The sequence below is a fragment of the Homo sapiens genome, chromosome 2, assembly GCF_000001405.40.
Source record: "Homo sapiens chromosome 2, GRCh38.p14 Primary Assembly".
NCBI classification, from domain to species: Eukaryota; Metazoa; Chordata; class Mammalia; order Primates; family Hominidae; genus Homo; species Homo sapiens.
Window position 1 is genome coordinate 210,118,678 of NC_000002.12, and position 22,895 is coordinate 210,141,572.

The following is a 22,895-nucleotide window of genomic DNA, read 5'->3' on the forward strand; positions in this document are numbered from 1 at the left end:
CTCTACAGAAAATACAAAATTTAGCCACATGTGGTGGTGTGTGCCTGTGGTCCCAGTTACTAAGGCTGAGGTGGAAGGACTGCTTGAGCCCAGGAGGTTGAGGCTGCAGTGAGTCGAAATTGTGCCACTCCACTCCAGGTTGGGCAACAGAGTAAGACCCTGTCTCAAGAGAAAAAAAAAAAAAAAGTCCTCTATTAAAGAAAAGCCCAGAGCTGGGTGTGGTGGCTCATGCCTGTAATCCCAACACTTAGGGAGGACGAGGCAGGCAGATCACGAGGTCAAGAGATTGAGACTATCCTGGCGAACATGGTGAAACCCTAACATGATGAAACTCTGTCTCTACTAAAAATACAAAAATTAGCTGGGCATGGTGGCGCGCACCTGTAGTTGCAGCTACTCAGGAGGCTGAGGCAGGAGAATCTCTTGAACCTGGGAGGCGGAGGTTGCAGTGAGCCAAGATCGCACCACTGCACTCCAGCCTGGTGACAGAGCGAGGCTCCGTCTCGAAAAAAAAGAAAAAAAAGAAAAAAAAAGAAAAGCCCAGGACCCAATGGCTTCACTGCTGAATTTTACCAAACACTTAAAGAAGAAGTAGTATCAATCCTACTCTAACTAGTCTGAAAAATAGAGGGGAAGGAAATACTTTCAAAGTCATTCTACAAGGACAGTATTACTGTGATATTAAAACTAGCCAAAACCACATTTTTAAAAAAGAGAAAACTATAGGCAAATATCCCTGATTATATTGATGCAGAAGTCCTTAACAAAAAATTAGCAAACCAAATAACAACATATTAAAAATATCATTTGTCATAATCAAGTAGGATGCATTCCAGGGGCGCAAAGATGGTTCAACACACGCAAATTAATCAATCTGATAGATCATATCAACAGAAAGAAGGACAAAATCCATATGGTCATTTCAATTGATGCTGAAACAGTGTTTAAGAAAATTCAACATCCTTCATGATAAAAACCTTCAATAAATTGGGTATAAAGGAACTTACCTCAACACAATAAAAGCCATATATGATAGACCCACAGCTAGTATCTTAATGAATGGGAGAGAAAACTGAAATCTAGAACGTAACAAGGATGCCCACTTTTACCACTGTCATTCAATATAATACTGGAAAGTTGTAGGTAGAGCAATTAGACAAGAGAAAGAAATAGAAGGCAACCCTGAATAACCAAGGCAATCCTAAGCAAAAAGAACAAAGCAGAAGGCATCAGGCTACCCAACTTCAAACTATACTACAGGGCTATTGGAACCAAAACAGCATGGTACTCGAACAAGAACAGACACAAAGACCAACAGAACAGAAAAGGGAACCCAGAAATGAGACCACACACCTACAACTGTCTGATCTTCAACAAACCTGAAAGAAATAAGCAATGGGGAAAGAATTCCCTATTCAGTAAGTGGTGCTGGCCAGGCACGGTGGCTCACACCTGTAATCCTAGCACCATGGGAGGCTCAGGCAGGTGGACTGCCTCAGCTCAGGAGTTCGAGACCAGCCTGGGCAACACAGTGAAACCCCATCTCTACTAAAATACAAAAAAAATTAGCCAGGCATGGTGGCATGTGCCTGTAGTCCCAGCGACTCAGGAGGCTGAGGCAGGAGAATTGCTAGAAGCCAGGAGGCGGAGGTTGCAGTGAGCGGAGATCACGCCACTGTACTCCAGCTTGGGTGACAGGGTGAGACTCCGTCTCCAAAGAAAAAAATAAAAATAAAAAAGTGGTGCTGGGATAACTGGCTAGCCATATGCAAAGATTGAAACTGGACCCCCTCCTTACACCACATACAAAAATTAATTCAAGATGGATTAAAGCCTTAAATGTAAAACCCAAAATTATAAAAATGCTGGAAGACAACCTAAGCAATACCATCCAGGACATAGGCACAGGCAACGATTTCATGACAAAGATGCCAAAAGCAACTGCAACAAAAGCAAAAATTGACAAATGTATACTAACTAAACTAGAGAGTTTCTGCACAGAGAAAGAAACTATCAACAGAGTAAACAGACAATCTAAAGAATGGGAGAAAATTTTTGCAAACTATGCATCTGACAAAGGTCTAATATTCAGCATCTAAAAGGAACTTAAACAAATTTACAAGAAATAAACAAACAACCCCATAAAAAAGTGGGCAAAGGACATGAAAAGACACTTTTCAACAGAAGACATACATGCGGCCAAAAATCATATGAAAAAAAGCTCAACATCATTGATCATTAGAGAAATGCAAATCAAAACCACAATGAGATACCATCTAACTCCAGTCAGATGGCTACTATTAAAAAGTCAAAAAATAACAGATGTTGGCAAGGTTGTGGAGAAAAAGGAATGCTTTTACACCACTGGTGAGAGTGAAATTAGTTCAGCCATTGTGGAAGACAGTGTGGCAATTCCTCAAAGACCTAAAGACAGATATACCATTTGACCCAGCAATCCCATTACTGAGTATACACCCAAAGGAATATATATCATTCTATTATAAAGATACACACATGTGTACGTTTATTGCAGCACTATGCACAATAGCAAAGGCATAGAATCAACCCGAATGCCCATCAATGGTAGACTGCATAAAGCAAATGTGGTACACATACACCATGGAATACTATGCAGCCATAAAAAACAATGAGATCATGTCCTTTGCAGAAACACGAATGAAGCTGGAGGCCATTATCCTTAGCAAACTAACTCAGGAACAGAAAACCAAATATCGCATGTTCTCACTTATAAGTGGGAGCTAAATGATGAGAGAACATGAACACATAGAGGGGAATAACACACACTGGGGCCTTTTGGAGAATGGAGGGTGCGAGGAGGGAGAGGATCAGGAAAAACAACTAATGGGTACTAGGCTTAATACCTGGCTGATGAAATAATCTGAACAACAAACCCCTAAGACACAAGTTTACCCATGTAACACACCCGCACTTGTACCCCTGAACTTAAAATAAAAGTTTAAAAAGAAGAAGAAATAAAACTTTTTGGGGGGCAAATTTTTTAAAAAAGAAAAAGAAATAAAGGGCATCCACATCAGAAAGGAAGAAGTCAAATTATCCTTGTTTGCACGTGATATGATCTTGTTTGGAAAAATCTACAGACTCCACTAAAAAACTATTAAAACTGATAAATAAATTCAGTAAGTTGCAGGATACAAAATCAGCATACAAAAAACAGTAGCATTTCTATATGCCAACAGCATACAATCTAGAGAAGAAATCAAGAAAGTCAACTCATTTACAGTAGATACAAATAAAACAGAATACCTAGGAATTAACCAAAGAACTGAAAGTTCTCAACTATGAAACCTATAAAACATTGATGAAAGAAACTGAAGAGGATACACACAAAAAGGAGATATTCCATTTTTGTGAATTAGAAGAATTAATATTGTTAAAATATCCATAGTACCCAACGAAATCTACAGATTCAATGCAATCTCTATCAAAGTACCACTGACATTCTTCACATAAATAGAAAAAACAACCCTAAAATTTATATGGAACCACAAAAGACCCAGAATAGCTAAAGCTGTCCTGAGCATAAAGAACAAAATTGGAAGAATCACATTAACTGACTTCAAATTATACTACAGAGCTGTATTAATCAAAACGGCACAGTACTGGCATAAAAATAGACACACAGACCAACAAAACAGTACGGAGAACCCAGAAACAAATCCATACATATACAGTTAACTCATTTTCAACAAAGTTGCCAAGAACTTGGGGAAAAAACAGTCTCCAGTAAATGGTGCTGGAAAGACTGTCTATCCATATGCAGAAGAATAAAACTAGACCCCCATTTCTTGCCATATACAAAAATCAAATCAAAATATATTAAAGACTTAAATCTAAGACCTCAAACTATGAAACTACTAAAAGAAAACATTGGAAAAACTCTCCAGGACATTGGACTGGGCAAAGATTTCTTAAGTAATACCCCACAAGCACAGGCAACCAAAGAAAAAATGGACAAATCAAATTAACACGTTAACACATCATGTTAAAAAGCCTCTGCATAGCAAAAGAAATAATCAACAAAGTGAAGACACAACCCACAGAATGGGCAAAAATATTTGCAAACTATCTGTCTGACAAGGGATTAATAACCAGAATACATAAGGTGCTCAAACAAATCAATAGAAAAAAAAAATCTAATAATCTGATTGAAAAATAGGGAAAACATATGAATAGACCTTTCTCAAAAGAAGACATACAAATGGAAAACAGGTATATGAAAAAGTGCTCAACATTGTTTATCATCAGAGAAATGCAAATCAAAACTACAATGAGCTATCATCTCACCCCAGTTAAAATAGCTTCTATCCAAAGGTCAGGGAATAAAACATGCTGGCAAAGTTGTAGAGAAAAAGGAACCACACTGGTGGTGGGAATGTATATTCCCAACCACTTCAGAGAAAAGCTTGGAGCTTCCTTGAAAAACTAAAACTAGAACTATCCTATGATCCAATCTTACTCCTAGGCATATACCCAAAGAAAGGATATCAGTATATTGAACAGGTATCTGCACCCTTATGTTTATGGCAGCAGTATTCACAATAACCAAGATTTGAAAACCTAAGTGTCCATCAACAGACAAATGGATAAAGAAAATGTTGTACATATACAAAATGGAGTACTATACAGTGATAAAAAAGACTGAGATCCTGTCATTTGCAACAACGTGGATGGAACTGAAGGTCATTATGTTAAGTGAAATAAGCCAGGCACAGAAAGACAAATTGTGCATGTTCTCACTTGTTTGTAGGAGCTTAAAAAATTAAAACAATTGAACTCATGGAGATAGTAGAATGATGATTACTAGAGGTTGGGAAGGGTGGGGGAGAATGGGGATGGCTAATGGGTACAAAAATATAATTAGAGAGAATAAATAAGATCTAGTATTTGATAGCACAACAGGGTGACTACAGTCAACAATAACTTATTGTACATTTAAAAATAATTAAGAGTATAATTGGACAGTTTATAACACAAAGAAAGAATAAGTGTTTGAGGTGATGGATGTCCCATTTACCCTGATCTGATTATTATGCATTGTATTCCTGTGTCAAAATATCTCACGTACCCCATAAATATATACATCCACTATGTACCCACAAAAGTATTTTTTAAGTTAAAAAAAAAAAGCACAAGGAGACAGTATTAGAGCTTGACCCTCCAGTCTCCTTGTCAGTCAACTTGCAATATAAAGCTTTTCTTCTTTCAAAAAACTCAGTGTCATAGTATTGGTTTCTAATGCATCAGGCAACATTTACACATCTAATAAGAGACAATTAAAACATATGAAGCAAAATCTGATAGAATTGCAAAGAAAAATCAATAATTCTAAAATAATAGTTGGATACTTCTATAACTCACTCTTGTTAAGGGACACAACAACTAGATGGAAGATAAGTAAGGAAACAGACAACTTAAACTACACAATAAACCAACTAGATTTAACAGATATCTAAAGAACATTCTACCCAACAACAACCACATACAAATTTTTCTCAAGTGTACATGGAGCATTTTCCCAGATGGACCATATGTTAGGCCAAATATTATATCTCAACAGATATAAAAAGAAAGATATAAAAATTATCTTTTCCAACCACAATGAAATGAAGTGAGAAATCATTAACAGAAAACTGGAAAATGCACAAATTTGTGTATATTAACACATTTTAAAACAACCAATAGATCAAAGTAGAAATTACAAGAAAAATTAGAAAACAGTTAGAAATAAACGAAAATGAAAACAAAACATACCAAAATTTATGAGATGCAGTGAAGGCAGTGCTAAGGGGGGAGTTTATAGTTATAAATGCTTGACATTTAAAAAAAACAAAAAAGATCTCGAAATAACAACCTAATTTTACAAATTAAGAAACTAGAAAAAGAAGAACAATTTAAACCAAAAGCTAGCAGAAGAAAGGAAATAATAAAGATTAGGGTAGAGCTAAAACGAATATGAGGATAGAAAAACTAGAAAAATTATCAAAACTAAAAGTGGATTCTTTGAAAGCATCAACAAAATCGACAAACCTTTAGCTAGATGAACTAAGAAAACAAAGAAAAAAGACTCAAAATACTAAAATCAGAAATAAAGCTGGGGATGTTATTGCTGAATCTAAAGAAATAAAACAGATGACAAGAGAGTATTATTAATAATACTATACCAACAAATTAAATAACCTAGATTACATGAACAAATTCCTAGAAACACAACACAACTTAAGAAGACTAAATCTCAAAGAAATAGAAAATTTGGGCTGGGTGTGGTGGCTCACATCTGTAATCCCAGCACTTAGGGAGGCCAAGGCAAGTGGAACACCTGAGGTCAGGAGTTTGAGACCAGCCTGGACAACATGGTGAAATCCCGTCTCTACTAAAAATACAAAAATTAGCTGGATGTGGTGGCGGGTGCCTGTAATCCCAGCTACTCAGGGGGCTGAGGCAGGAGAATTGCCTGAACCCAGGAGGCAGAGGTTGCAGTGAGCCGAGATTGCGCCACGGCACTCCAGCCTGGGCAACAAGAGCAAAACTCCAACTCAAAAGAAAAGAAAAGAAAAGAAAATTTGAATAGGCCTATATAACTAGTAAGGAAATTAAATTAGTAATCAAAAATCTCTTGATAAAGTAAAGCCCTGAATCTGATGACTTCAATGCTGAATTCTACTAAATTTTTAAAGAAGACCAAATAGCAATCCTTCTCAAACTTTTCCAAAAAATCAAAGAGGAAGGAACACTTCTTAATTCATTCTGTGAGGCCAGCATTATCCTGATGCCAAAGCCAGGCAAAGACACTATAAGAAAATAAACTACAGATCAATATCCCTTGTAAATACTGATACAGAAGTGATCAACCAAAAATTAGCAAGCCAAATTCATCACCATATTAACAGGTTTACAATCCATGACTGAGTGAGATTTATTCCAAGTGAGATTTATTCTTAGAATGAAAGGATGGTTCAGTATTAAAACCGATTAATGTAATACACAACATTAACAGAATGAAGGAGAAAGAAAACCCTATCATCATTTTAATTGAAGAAAAGGCATTTGAAAAAATTGTACATCTTTTCATGATAAAAACAGTCAGCAAGGTAGGAATCAAAGAAAACTACCTAAACATAATAAAAGCCACATATGAAAACCCCCTGAAAATCACACTCAAGGGTTAAAGACTGAACCATTTCTCCTCTTAAGATCAGGAACAAGGCAAAAATGCTCACTTTCACCACTTCTATTCAACACAGTATTGGAAGTTCTAGACAAAGCAATTAAGCAAGAAAAAGAAATAAATGGCATCCAAACTGTAAAAGAAGTTAAATGATTTGTTTTAAGATGATATAATCTTATATGTAGAAAACACTAAAAATTCCTTCAAAAATATGTTCAAATTAATAAATTCAGCAGAGTAGCAAGATCACACAGAAGTCAGGTGCGTTTTTTATACACCAACAATGAACAATCTGCAAAGAAAGTCACAAAAACAATTCCACTTACAACAGCATCAAAAAGAATAAAACACTTCAGAATATAATAGATAGATAACCAAGGAGTTGATAGACTTGTATAAACTACAAAACATTGCTGAAAGAAATTAAAGAAGATATAAATAAATGGAAACAAATCCCATATTCATGGATTGGAAGACTTAATGTTGTTAAGCTATCAAAACTACTCAAAGAAATCTAGAGTTTCAGTGCATCCCTATCTAAATCTCCACAACTCTTTTTATAGACAGAAAAAAAACTTATCCTAAAGGTCATACAAAATCTCATGAGACCTCAAAGCCAACACAATCTCTAAAAAAACACAAATCTAGAGTTGGGCTCGGTGGCCCACACCTGTAATCCCAGCATTTTGGGAAGCCAAGGCAGGCAGATCACTCTGAGGCCAGGAGTTCAAGACTAACCTGGCCAACATGGCAAAATCCCGTCTCTACTAAAAATACAAAAATTTTAGCTGGGCTTGGTGGCACATGCCTGTAATCCCAGCTACTCAGGAGGCTGAGGCATGAGAATCACTTGAGCCTGGAAGGTGGAGGTTGCAGTGAGCTGATATCGTGCCATTGCACTCCAGCCTTGGCAACATACTGAGACTCTGTCTCAAAAATATATATAAATAAATAACAAATCTGGAAGACTCACGTCCTGATTTCAAAAATTATTACAAAACTACAGAAATCAAAATAATGTGATACTGGCCAGGCATAGTGGCTCATGCCTATAATCCTAGCACTTTGGGAGGCTGAGGTGAGAGGATGGCTTGAGCCCAGGAGTTCAAGACCAGCCTGGTCTTGAATATAGTGAAACTCTGTCTCTTTTTAAAAAAAAAGAAGAAAAGAAATTAAAAACAAAAACAAAAAAACCCAATGTGGTACTGGCATAAAGACAGACCTATATTCCAATGGGATAGAATAGAGAACCCAGAAATAAACCCTAACATATATGGTCAAATGTTTTTTGACAAACTTTTCAAGGCCATTCAATGGAAAAACAGTCTTTTCAACCAGGTAAAACTGAATATCTGAATGAAAACAAATGAAACTGGACCCTTACCTAACACCACACACAAAAATTAACACAAAACGGATCAAAGCTCTCAATGTAAAACCTAAAACTATAAAACTCTAAGAAGAAATATAGGGTAAGTGCTTCATGACATTAGATTTAGCAATGATTTCTTAGCTATGACACCAAAGGCACAGGTAATAAAAGAAAAAGTAGACAAATGGGACTTCAGAAAAATTTTGAAAATTTGGGCAGGAAAAGATAATATCAACAGAGTAAAAATGCAATGAACAAGGCTGAGCACAGGGGCTCACATTTGTCATACCAGCACTTTTTGAGAGGCCAAGATCAGGGGATCATTTAAGTCTAGGAGTTCGAGACCAGCCTGGGCAATAGAGGGAGATCCCATCTCTACAAAAAATCAAAAACTTAGCCAGGCATGGTGGCACGAGCCTCTAGTCTCAGCTACTTGGGAGTCTGAGGTGGAAGGATTGCTTGAGCCCGGGAGGTCAAGGCTGCAGTGAGCAGTGATCACACTACTGCACTCCAGCCTGGGTGACAGAACAAGACTCTGCCTCAAAAAAAAAAAAAAAAAAAAAAAGCAACACATAGAATAGGAAAAAATATTTATAAATCATATATCTGATAAGAAATTAATATCTACTATATATTGAATTAAAACGCAACAAGAAAAAAACAAGCAAGCAACCCAATTCAAAAATGGGCAAAGGACTTGAATAAGTACTTCTCCAAAGAAGATATCCAAAAGCCAAGCCAGTAGCACATGAAATGATGTTCAACATCATTAATCATTAGGCAAATGCAAATCAAAACTAAAATAAGATACCATCTCACACTCATTAGGGAGGTTACTATAAAATAAACAGAAAATAAATGTTAGCGAGAATCTGGAGAAATCTGAACCTTGTGTACTGCTGGTGGGAATGTTAACTGGTATAGCCACTGTGAAAAACAGTATGGTAGATCCACAAAAAAATTAAAAATAAAGTTCCCATATGATCCAGCAATTCAACTTGTGGGTGTTTACCCCAAAGAATTGAAAACAGGGTCTCAAAGAGATATTTTTATATCCATGTTCATAGCATACTCACAATAGCTAAAAACTGGAAGCAACCCAAGTGTCCATCAACGGATGAATGAATAAACAAAATGTGGTATATACATACAATAAATTATTAGTCTTAAAAAGGAAAGAAATTCTAATATGCTACAATATTTATGAAACTTGAGAACATTATGCTAGTGAAATAAGCTAGCCACAAAAAGACAAAAACTTATGATTCTGCTCATATGAGGTACTTAAAATAGTCAAAATCATAAGAGACAGACATAGTTGCCAGGGGTTGAGGAGAGAGGAAAGTGGACAGTTATTATTTAATGGGTTTAGAGCTTCAGTTATAAAAGGTAAAAAGAGTTATGGAGATGGATAGCGACAGATGCACAACATTACAAATGTATTTAATAACACAACTATACACTCAAAAATGGTTAAGATGTTAAGGTTTTTATGTATTTTATGATTTAGAAATTTGAAAACACGTTTATCACTTATATTAACTGGAATCCAATAAGGAAGTTCTGAATTGCTCAAAAAGTATGATAAAATGATCTTAAAATACAAAAAGGCATTACAAAAATAGCTTCAATTTATAATAATATATCAAAAATTTTAACATAAACTGGCTACATTTTTATAAAACCTTGTAACAATTATTTTTGTGATCAAATGAGAAGGAATGAAAACATTAACAATTTTTAACAAAAGTAGAAGAACACAGACAGACAATACCTTGGAGGCACGAATTTGCCTGTGAATGTCTGTTAGTTGTTGGATTTTGCATTCTAGGTCTGAAATCTGAGCTTGAAGCCAAGTCCATCGGCTGCCAACTCGTGCTCTGTCTACAAGCCACTTCCATTCAGTACTACAGTTACTGTGAACAAAACAAACACTGTTACTCAAAGCACAAAGGCAATCAAGTTTCACAAACACTGCTTAATAACTTCCTTAACTCCCATCATAAAAGCAAATTTCCTTTCTACAACATGTAATTACAGGAAGAGAGAATGGCAGATTGACTTCTTATCAAAGAAAAAGATATAATTTTCCTACCTTTCCACCCCACAAATACCTGTTTTCATTAAATATTACATACCCTGTAGTAGGATAATTCCTCTGCTATTCAATTCTTTATCAGTGCAGAAGGTCTTAAACAGAGATAAACCAGCAAAGAAAAGGAAACATGAATGACAATGCAAACACCATGTAAAAACTGTTACATAAAACTTTTATACGTAAGTAGATGTCAAGTACCAGACAATCCATTTGAATGGTGCTAAATCTAAATCCATGTAATAAACTGTAGCATATTCGATTTTACTATAAGTAATTTTTATTTGTTAAAATAGGCATCGTTATTAGCTAATTATTTAAATCATTTTTTAAAAGCTATCAAAAATTATAAAAAATATAAATGCTCTGCTACATTTCAAATAAGCATACCAAATATATAGACCTTAAAATATTTAAGATAAACTGTTCCTTAAAAACCTGATTCCTAGGATTCACAACCTACAGATCACAAAGAATTTACATAAAGCCTTTCTTTCATGCATATTTAAAAATAAGGGTTGATTCCTAGCTCCTCCTAGTACCTCTTGTCATTTGGCAAGAGCACTACAGCTAGAGAAAAATTATTGGGGATTACGGGTGGTATATGTGTGTGATATTTAATTAGGAGATGCAGATTGCAAAAAAAAAAAAAAACTGACAGAAACTGAAGATATAACTGTAGGACAACAATGACTTAATGACAACATGTAAACTTTATAAAAAACTTATCTAAAAATTCATTTATTGTCAAAACCCGCTGACTGTAGAACGCCAAGAGTGAACCCTAATGTAAATGATGATCTCTGGGTGACAATGACGTGTTAATGTAGGTTCATCAATTGTAACAAATACACCACTCTGTTGTGGGATATTAACACTGGGAAAGGTTATGCATTTGTAGCATGTAGGAACAGGGGATATGTGGGAACTCTTTGTACTTTCCATTCAGTTTTGCTGTGAACCTAAAACTGCTCTAAAAAATAGTTTATTAATTTTTTAAAATGCACTGGACCATAATGGAATATCTTTCAAATAATCTTTAAACAGAGAAAATATTTATTCTAAGAGATCATTTGCTGTCAGATAAACAGAACACAATTATTATGGCTTTGCTATATAGAATTTATTCATTATAACAGGATTTTACATTATATCAATGTTTCTGAAAGGCCACTGTTTTTAAGGATTCTAACTGCATACAATGTGATTAAAGACACCATATGATTTAGGATTTCTCTTGGTATTATTATTTATTGTTTATAGTCATTACTGTGGTTTCATAAATTTGACACTTAAAAATCACATTTTCCTAACTGTGGACAAAATAAAATACCTATTCAAAATATACTATTCATAGTTAACAGTTAGCAACACTAAATGCCAATCACAAAATCAGAGAAGGCAAGCATGCTAGCGCGTAGCATTTTACACAGGTGAGGATAAAATGTTTGGATTTTAAAACAAAGTGGAAACTACTGGCAAGGTGGTAACAATTTTTTTTTTTTTTTCAAGAACTTTGGCTACTAGGTGGAGAAAGCACTGCAGTAGGAAATGAAAAAAAAGTCAGGAAAACAACTAAGATGTTATCTGTAATAATCTGGGTGTAGTACAGATCATTGTGATCTCTAAATATTTCACGTACCGCCCTACACTTCCCAGGCTTATGCATTTATGTTGGAGCCATTTGACTAGTTCTGAGCAAATGCGCTGTAAGCAAAAGTGACATTGTCATTTCCAGTTCACCTGAGGATCTTCAAAACCAGTAGTGCAGAGAGTATAGCTACAAGATGGAGGAGGAGAATAGCCCAGATCACACTGGACTTTATGTAAGCCGCAGTACACCTCTGCTGTGTGAAACCATTGAGATTAGGATGCTAATTTGTAACTCTAAATATAGCCTATTCTGACTAAAACACTGAATATAAAAATGGCTTTGACTGGGAAGGAGAGGGGAGACAAAGATATGTAGATAAAAGAATGGATTCAAGGTTCATTTTAAAGTTGATAGGACTTGCAGAAGTATGGCATAGAAGTGAGCTTAGGGCAATCAAAGATGATCTTAAACATTCTTTAAGTTTTGCTCCAGTTGGAAAATTCCCCTATAATATGCAATTTGGTTTGGCTATAATATTGATGATTAGTGAATAATGAAATATAACAGAAAAAAATGCCATAGAACTCATATTATTGTACTTCTGGTAAAGATATTCTGATACTCAAGTTAGGATTACAAAAATCATTGTTATGATGTTCATATACTAGACTAAATTATACTAATATAGAAAAATAGCAATACCAGATTAAATTTAAGTAAACCAAATCGCATCGGACGCTTTGTGATATATGAAATAAATTTTCTTTTTTTTTTTTTTTAGTTTTGCTGTGTCGTCCAGGCTGGAGTGCAGCGGTGCGATCTCTCCTCATTGCAACCTCCACCTCCCAGGTTCAACGGATTCTTGTCCCTCAGCCTCCTGAGTAGCTGGGATTACAGGCATGTACCACCACACCCAGTTAATTGTATTTTTAGTAGACACGGGGTTTCACTACGTTGGCTAAGCTGGGCTTCAACTCCTTTCCTCAAGTGATCTACCCGCCTCGGCCTCCCAAAGTGCTGGGATTACAGGCATAAGCCAGAAAGCCCGGCCTGAAATAAATTTTCTGTAGAGGGTAACTTATCCTACATTTTAACAGGAGTGAATAAAACATGTTTGCTATGCTTATAAGTGGTAAACAAAAATGTTTGCTTCCTAGAAAACATGTTTTTCTAAAAAAAATAAGATTGTTAATAATTAAGATGTTACAGATAAATATATGGCTAACTTGCTCAAACAAGATCAACATGTTATACCCCAAAGTCAAACATTTTATGTAAACAACTTATATAATCAATGTTAATGGTTTACATAACTTACAGTGTAACCAAATAGCATATAACTAATGCACCAGCATACTCAGAGTGTCCCAACTCCCCAGTTAGCATATAAGCCTGGTCTGCCACTGACTCCCTGAATCTTTCTAGAGTGTGCAAAACTGATCACAGACCACCACATGCTGACCATAATGTGGGTTCCCTATCTCTAGTAAAGATCAAAGACATTGGTGAGTGGAGACCACCTGGACAGTGACAGAGATCACTCATTCCCCAGAAAGGTAGCATTATGACTTCAATTCCCATCCTTGCTTGCTTGCAGCCACCACTTAACTTTTGCTAAAAGAAATGAGTACAAGCTGTTTAAACTTAAGTGGTTTTGAATGCAATTTCTCTTGGTACTAACTGTCAACATCACAAACTTACATCTTTGTTTTGACCTCCTGGTATGAACTCATTTGGTCATGATGAATTTTTACTGTTTGCTAGACCCTATTTGTTATTTCATTTAGGATTTTTCTTTGCATCTATAGTCAAAGAAGATATGGATCTGCTGTTCTCTTGTCATATTTGGTTTTGGAATCAAGCTAATGCTACCCTCATAAAACGAGAAGTCTTCTCTCCTCCTTGATTTTCTGAAGGAATTTATGTAGGACTGGAATGGTTTATTCCTTGAGTTTCAATGAAATTAATCAGTGAAGCCATCTGAGCCACAAGTTTTCTATGTGGGAAAGTTTATAATTATTAATTTTTCTTTTTAACGTAAGGTTTTTCAGGTTTTCTATTTCTCATTGTGTCAGTTTGGTCATTTGTGTCTTTTAAGCGATTAGCCTATTTAGCTTAAATTGTTGAATTTATTGACATGTACTTGTTCATAATACAGTCATCCCTTAGTATAAGGATTGGTTCCAGGACCCCCTGAGGATACCAAAATCTGCGGAAATGGTCAAGTCCCTTATATAAAATGATGTACATGTGCATATAAGCTACATACACTCCATTGTATACTTTAATTTCTAGATTGCTTATAATATCTAATACAATGTAAATATTGCTTATAATACATAATACAAAGTTATTATACTCTTTTTAATTCATATTTTTTATTATTGCATTATTTTATATTTTTCTTGGCTATTTCCATTTATAGTTAGTTGATACACAGATACAGAACCTGGGAATACAGAGAATGGTTTGTATCCCCCAATTATTCCACAATGCCAGAACATCTATAGTGATATTTTTCCTTCTTCCTGCTATTAGTATTCTTCTAAATAATCTTGCTAGAAGTTTATAATTCTCTCCATTGTTTTCATGTTTTATATTCTGTGAATATCCACTCTTTATCATCACCTTTTCCTTCTATTTGCTTTGGGTTTAATTTAGTATTATTTTTATTGCTTTTTAAGTAGGAGACTTAGACCACAGACTACACTATTCTCCTTTCCTAATACAAACATGTATAGCCATACAGCATTGCTTCAGTAATTTAGTAGCTGCATCCCTCAAATTCTGATATGTCATGTTTCTAATATTATTCAGTTCAAAACATTTTATAGTTTCTCTTGTGACTTCTTCATCCACGAGTTATTTGGAAATGTGTGATTTAATTTCTACATATTTCAGACCCACATATTTACCATTTCTTAACATTTCTTTTTTCCTTTATGTAAATCTGTTTTTACCCAGTATGATTTTCCTTCAGCCTGAAGATCATCTTTTAAAATTTCTTTAGTGCGTGTATACTGACAACTTCTCTCTATTTTTGCTTATCTGGAAATGTCATTTTGTCTCTGTTTTTTAAAATGTTTCACTGGGCAGAGAATTTTAGACTGACTTTTTTTCCCCACCTTTCAGCACTTTAAATATATCATTCCATTTTTCTGGCTTACATACCTTCTAGTGAGAAGTTAGCAGTGATTTTTATTTATTAACCACTTCTTCTGAATGACTATTCCCTTGTTAGCTGAAGTCGTTTTACATTTCAGATATTTTTAGCTTCTGAACGTTCAATGGTTCTTTATATGTTCAATTTCTTTCATTATGTTCACATTTTCCTTTTAAGTCCTTGAGCATATTTACAATAGATATTTTAAGCTCTTTGCCAACTACTTTCATGATCATTATCATTTCCACATCAGTTTCCATTAATAATTTTTCTCCGCTTCTTTGCATGCCTAATAGTTGAATACACACATGTGCACATACATACACACATGTCTAGTAGGTTTTATATAAATACATATTTTAAGGGTACTATGATTATGTTGTTAATGTGTGGATTTTGTGGTCTTCCTTAAAGAGTGATGAATTCTGTTCTGACAGGTTATTATATTACTTGCTGTTCAACTTCATAAATTTCAGCTTACTTTAAAGCTTTGTTAGAGCATGTGTAGAGTAGCCACTACACTAAGGCAGTTATCAAATTGAGGGAGAGGTGGATAGTCTGAGGAAAATAACTAGTAAATTAATAAGTGCATAGGCTTAACAACTATGACAAAATGAGATCTTTGGCTGTGGTATTTTCACATATAACTGACAGGAAGAAAAAGAGAATGGAAACCTACATTTCGGAGGGAACTCGACTAGGAAATACTACCATAAGCCTAACAAAGACTATCCCTGGGAGCCAAATCTGCACCAATAGAAAGCAGGGTGAGAATGCAGTGGTGTCTCCAATAAGAGTACACTAACACCCATGTTAGATACAGTCACAAAGAATCATAGACCAAGAGTAATTCCCAAAGAGCAAGGTCAGGGACTATGAAGGACAAATGACAAGGGAGCTTATCTCAGAAAGCAAAATTAAGGTCCTAGCAAGACCTTACTCCACTGCCAGAGCAAGAAGTCTATTATTGTAAGGAACAGGAACTATCATATATGGCCCATTCTTTTTTTTCCCATTGGGAATTTTCCTTGTCCTTTATACCATCATACAAGAAGCAAGAGGTCAAGAAAATTAGGAAACTTGTCTCTTAGTTTATTGGTCACCACATCATGATGAACCACACAGAAACCCGATATAGAGGACTTTACCCAATGAATGTGACTTTGGGTTATCATCCTTGAGAAGATGGTATGTTTTATGAATGAGAAAGAGGTACATGGACATTTGGGTAGCCAAAGAGGCAAACTGAATAGACTTCTTGTTTTCCCCTAATATCCATCCTCCTATACTTTTTGGATAATAGAGCTCCTTGGGTTTCAGCTGAGCCCTCAGCAGCTCAGCTTAGAGACCTTATTTCCCAGCCTTACTTGCAGTTAGGTCTGACTATACAACAAAGTCCTTGAAAATAAAACGTGAGCCAAAATTATGTGCACAACTTCTAGGTCTGGCCATTATAAATGATTGGGTTTATCATTAAAAATGACTGAATATGGAAATGAAATGAAGTACCAGTGACTCTCAACAATGCAGGCAAGGGCAGCATCCTAAGGAACAGCAAAGCTAAAAGGTCTCTGCTAAACCCTGTAAAGCATATCTAATTCTTGACCGTTAAATGAGAGAAAAATAAATTCTATATATTTATGTTGACTTCTCCTTGTTATAAAAGCTTAACATATACCTTAAATAACATATTCCTCCCTCGAAAATATTTCATGCTATTAGGATCATTTGGGCTAACAAGTTCTCATTTAAAATGTTCATTGTCTTTAAGATGAGCCTTACTGACATACAAGTTAATAACTTACATACTCTATCATCAAGTTGTACACACACAATATAGACACATATATGCACACATTCATGAAGTAAACAACAAACAAAAACAAAAAAATAAATATACAGTTGTGACCTCTAGAAATTCTGGCATGAAGATAAACCACATTAAAAAGTGCAGTTTAGGATGTCCAAGGACTATCTGAGGTTGGAACTTAAAAAGGGTTCCAAAAAGGAAGAATAAATGGAGTAAACACATCTTGAGATCTTATGCAATTCTGCCTAGAACTCTGGCAGAACCTAGTGTCAACTGCCTAAACTGAAAATTTCAGTATTAATTAAAAATAATTCATATATGGGATGGGCAAATTTAGTCTTCTTCTCTTATTATCTATCCTCCCACCCCTCAAAGAAAAAAAAGAAAAAAAAGGAGAGATTGGGAAATATTTATGCATTCTATCGCTACCACGCCTCTTCTCTTGTATGGAAAGAATTTTCAAAGTTATAGCCTGTAAAATAGTCTTAAATATGTTTGTAAAATCTTTGTGTAACATCAAACATTGACAAATAAGGACATATTTTTAAAAGGGAAATACTGTAAATAAATGTTAAACTAATCAAAACATTTATTTGCTAAAGAAACAATTTCACTGTTCAATAAGCATTGTGTGTATGTGTGTGCATGTCTCACTTTTGTTCAGGAAGCCAGGCAACCATGTAATGTTTTCAAACTGAACTGTACACGGGCCTGGATGAAGATGCAAGTAAAATCCAGCAAGAGTTCTGTACTCCAAACCCTGCAATTACAAACCTACATCTGCTCAGTGGAAGGAAAATCTTTTCCTAATGCACACAAATGAGTTAGTAATGGGCCTGCGAAACACTATAATGGGCCCTGAAAAGAAATAGGATAAAAATTAAAACTACCTTTATTAATCAAAAAAATGACTACCACTAAGCCAGAATCAAGTACAGGCATTCCTGCTCTAACACAATATATGCACTTCTGTATAACCTCATGTTCTGCAAAATAAAAATAGTTAGACTTATTGTGAAGATAGTGCCAGACCACACAATACCTAAGGAACTTTTAAATCTGAGCCCTAACAAAACAATAATGATTATTATAAAAATGGAAAGTTTCCACTGGCATTTGTACCTAAAATAAAGCAGTCCACATTTAAAGCTTCATATCCTGGGTCTCTTCTTTTTTTGATGTGCATCCTTGAAGACATTAGTTCTAATAGAAACCAGTTTAATAAAAATTAAAAATATCTTCTAGAGACAGCATTTTTCATTAGTCAATTTCTTTTTAACACAAGCAAAATATCTTTAAAGCTTAGTCAACACAGAAAAATGTATAGCCAATAAACCAGCAACTTACTGAGCTACAGGAGGATATTTCTATAGGACTTTTAGCATTTTGTTTAGATCTTCAGCTACTGCTAAGAATTCCTCTTTAGTTGAGAAAAGCTTGACCTTGATCATTTCAAAATGCTAACAAGTTTGAAGTAATCTGGAAACAACCCACATTGTGGATACACACACAAAGTGTGTAAAAATCTACATTATATTGACATCATTCCCCTAAATGCCAAATACGTCACAAATTTACATTTTAAAATGCTGTAACAGAATGAATTACATACATTTTTAAAATATTACTAGACATTAAATGAAAAATATTTCTGACAATCTTAAATATATTATGCAACATATTATTTTAAATGATCCTGATGCTTACATGCATAAATTTGAAATATTGCATTTCCTCAGTGCTAAAGATGCCATAAAATTTAAATACAATCAATTTCATAACATAATTCCCTGGGGTGGGAAAATAATATAATATTAATTCTATACATCTGGCCAGGCACAGTGGCTCATGCCTGTAATACCAGCACTTTGGTAGGCCGAGGCAGGCAGATCATTTGAGCTGAGGAGTTTGAGACCAGACTAAGCAGCACAGCAAAAACCTGTCTCTACAAAAAACAGAAAAATTAGCCAGGCATGGTGGTGCATACCTGTAGTCCCAGATACTTGGGAGGCTGAGTTAAGAAAATCACTTGAGCCCAGGAGGTTGAGGCTGCAATGAGCCATCATTGTGCCACTGCACTCCACCCTGGGCAACAGAGCAAGACTCTGACTCAAAAAAAAAATTGTACATATCTATATAAGGTACATCTATTAGAAACATTAAAATGTGATAAAAATGTGCATTTTGGAATCCAAGAAGCATGTTACATCGAAAGTACAAATTTTCATGAGCTGTGATTTTTTTTTTACAACTATGAAAATTTATTTTATTTTTAAAAACAGTGCTAATCACAGAAACAGAAAACCAAATACTGCATGTTCTCACTTATAAGTGGGGGCTAAATATTGGGTAAACATAGACATAAAGATGGCAACGATAGACACTGGGGACTAATGGAGGGGAGAGGAAGGGGGTGGGTAAGGGTTGAAAAGCTAACTATTGTATATTATGCTCACTACCTGGACAATGGGATCAATCAGACCCCAAACTTCAGTATCATGGAATATACACATGTAACAAGCCTGCATACATACCCTGTAAATCTAAAATAAAAGATGGCAGTGTTAAAAAAAGTTAATGATATCAATTCTATAAAAAAAACTTTTAGAAATAATATTTGCAGTGTTTAGATTTGTCTAAGGAAGCTTAACATTGGGACTTACGCTTTTTAAAAATCTTTTTTAGCTTTATTAAGATTCAAATGACAAAAATATTACATATTTATGGTGTACATATTTATATATTAACACAATGCTGTCCTATATGTACACATTGTATAAGATTAAACCATGCTAATTAACATATCCATCATCTCATATACTTTTTCTATGGTGGGAACATTTAACATTTTTTATGGTAACAACATTGAAAATATCATAAGTCGAAATGCATTGAATTGGCCAGGTGCAGTGGCTCACACCTGTATTCCCATCACTTTGGGAGGCTGAGGCAGATGGATCACCTAAGGTCAGGAGTTCAAGACCAGCCTGGACAACATGGCGAAACCCCGCCTCTACTAAAAATACAAAAAATAGCCAGGTGTGGTGGCAGGTGTCTGTAATCCCAGCTACTGGGGAGGCTGAGGCAGGAGGATTGCTCGAACCTGGGAGGTAGAGGTTGCAGGGAGCCAAGATCGCACCACTGCACTCCAGCCTGGGCAACAAAGCAAGACTCCATCTCAAAACAAAACAAAACAAAACAAAAAGAAATGCATTCAATTATGTCTCAATAAACTCACCTTAAAGTTGAAAAATTGTAAGTTGAGCCATCATAAGTCAGGGACTCAACACGGTATGTTATTATTAACTACAGTCACTATGCTGACCATCTCCAGAACTTATTCCTCCTAACTGACATCCATACCTACACACACTACATTTTCCTTATCCATTCATCTGTCAATGGTCAGTTTGATTGCATACTTTGGCCACTGTAAATGAGTATCAACATGAGAGTGCAGGTATCAACTCAACATACTGATTTAATTTCCTTTTGACATATACCCAGAAGTAGGATTATTGGGTCATATGGTAATTCTATTTTAAATTTCCAGAGAAACCTCCTTACTATTTTCTGTAATATCTGTGCTTGTTTACATTCCCACAGTGTACAAGAGTTTCCTTTTATCTGTATCCTCTCCAACATTTGTTATTCTTTTTCTTGTAATAGCCATTTTAACAGGTGTGAGACGGTATCTCATTATAGTTTTAATTGGTATTTCCCTGATGATTAGTGATGTTGAGCACTTTCTCATCTATGTGTTGGCCATTTGTATATCTTCTTTGGAAAAAGAAATTGTCTATTCAGGTCCTTTGCCCATTTCCTTTTTTTTTTTTTTTTTGAGACAGGGTCTCTTTCTGTCACCAAGGCTGGAGTGCAGAGGCGCAATCTTGGCTCACTGCAACCTCAACCTCCTGGGCTCGAGTGATCTTCCCATCTCAGTCTCCTGAGTGGCTGGAACTGCAGGTGCACACCACCATGCCTGGCTAACTTTTGTATTTTTTTGTAAAGACAAGGTTTTGACATGTTACCCAAGCTGGTCTCAAATTCCTGAGCTCAAGCGATCCACCGGGCTACACCTCCTTGGCCACTTTGCCCATTTTTTAATCAGGTTATTTGTTTTCTTACTATTGAGTAATTTAACTTCCATATGTACTTTGGAAATCCTCCCTTTTCAGACGTATAGTTTGCAAATATTTTCTCCCATTTCATAGGTTGTCTCTTCACTCTGCTGTTTCTTTTGCTGTGTCAAACCTTTTTAGTTTGATGCAATTTCATTTGTCTATTTTTGCTTTTGTTACCTGTGCTTTGGAGTGCATATCCAAAAAATATTTGCCAACATCAATGTCGAGAAGCTTTTTCTGTTTTATTCAGGTCTTATGTTGAAGTCTTTAATCACCTTAAGTTGATGTGGGAATAAGGAGTAAGATAAGGGTCCAATTTCATCCTTTGATATGTAGATAACCCATTTTCCCAACACTGTTGAAAAGACTATCCCTTCCTCATTGTGTGCCCGTGGCATCTTTATTAAAGAATAATTGGCCATAAATGCATGGATTTATTTCTAGGCTCTCTATTCTGTTTCATAGGCATATGTGTGTTTTTAATTCCAGTGGCATGCTGTTTTGACTATTATAGTTTTCTCAATGTATTTTGAAGTCAGGTAATGTGGTGCCTCCAGCTTTGTTCTTTTTGCTCAAGATTGCTTTGGCTCATGGGGTCTTGCTTGGTTTTACATAAATTTTTGAATTTTTTCCCATTTCTATGGAAAATGCCAGTGGAATTTTGATAACAATGATATGGAATTTGTAGATTGCTTTGGGTTGTATGGACATTTTAACAACTCTTCCAATCCGTGAACACAGGATGTTTTTCCATTTGTTTCTTTTTCCATTTTTTCATTCATGTTTAGTTGTTGGTGTACATATCTTTCACCACCATGGTTAAATTTATTCCTAAGTATGTTAGCATTTTAAGTAGGATGGTTTTCTTTTGGACAGCTTAATATTAGTGTATAGAAATAATACAGATCTTTGTAGATTGATTTTATATCCTGAAACGCTAATTAATTTATTTCTAACATTGTTTTGATGGGGTCTTTACACTTTTCTTATCTCTAAGATGTCATCAGCAAAGAAAATTTAACTTCTTTCCCTGATTTGGATACTTTTTTAAAATTTCTTTTCTTTCCTCTCTTCCCCTCACTCCCTCCTTCCTTCCTCCCTTCCCTTCCCCACTCCTCTCTGTTTTCTTTCTTTTCTTTCTCTCCCTTTCTCTTTTTCTTTTTTCTTTTCTTTCCTTTTTCTCTTTTATTTATTTATTTTTATGCCTAATGAACCTGGCTAGCAATTCCAGTATATGTTGAATAGATTGGTCAGAGTAGGTGGTATCATCTGAACACTGTGTCCTCAAAATTCATATGTTAAAACCTAATTCCCAATGTGATGGCCTTAAGAGGGTGAGCCTTTGGAGATGATTAGGTGATTAGGCTCCACCTTTATCATGAGATTAATACTCTTATAAAAGAGGCCTGAGGAAGCTTGTTCTCCCTATCTACCATGTGAGAACAGAGGTAGAAGATGCCAACATGAAGGAAAGAACAAGCCCTCACCTAACACTGAATCCGCTGACAACTTGGCCTTGGACTTCCCAGC

General features: G+C 35.3%; 1 protein-coding gene and 1 long non-coding RNA gene across 18 annotated transcripts in view; both read right to left on the reverse strand.

Moving 5' to 3' along the window:
• Nucleotides 1–22,895, reverse strand: part of KANSL1L (KAT8 regulatory NSL complex subunit 1 like) — a 151,340-nt gene that overhangs the window by 97,257 nt on the left and 31,188 nt on the right. For all 17 annotated transcript variants that reach the window (XM_047443489.1, NM_001307976.2, NM_152519.4 and 14 more), the window contains exon 3: nucleotides 10,354–10,495. In XM_047443489.1, the coding sequence (XP_047299445.1) occupies nucleotides 10,354–10,495 (142 nt within the window). The remainder of the gene's footprint in view (nucleotides 1–10,353; nucleotides 10,496–22,895) is intronic.
• Nucleotides 11,779–21,491, reverse strand: LOC107985977 (uncharacterized). The gene is made up of 2 exons (XR_001739866.3): nucleotides 19,701–21,491; nucleotides 11,779–18,444 (listed from the first exon to the last, which is right to left on the reverse strand). It is a non-coding gene; the product is annotated as an uncharacterized LOC107985977 (long non-coding RNA).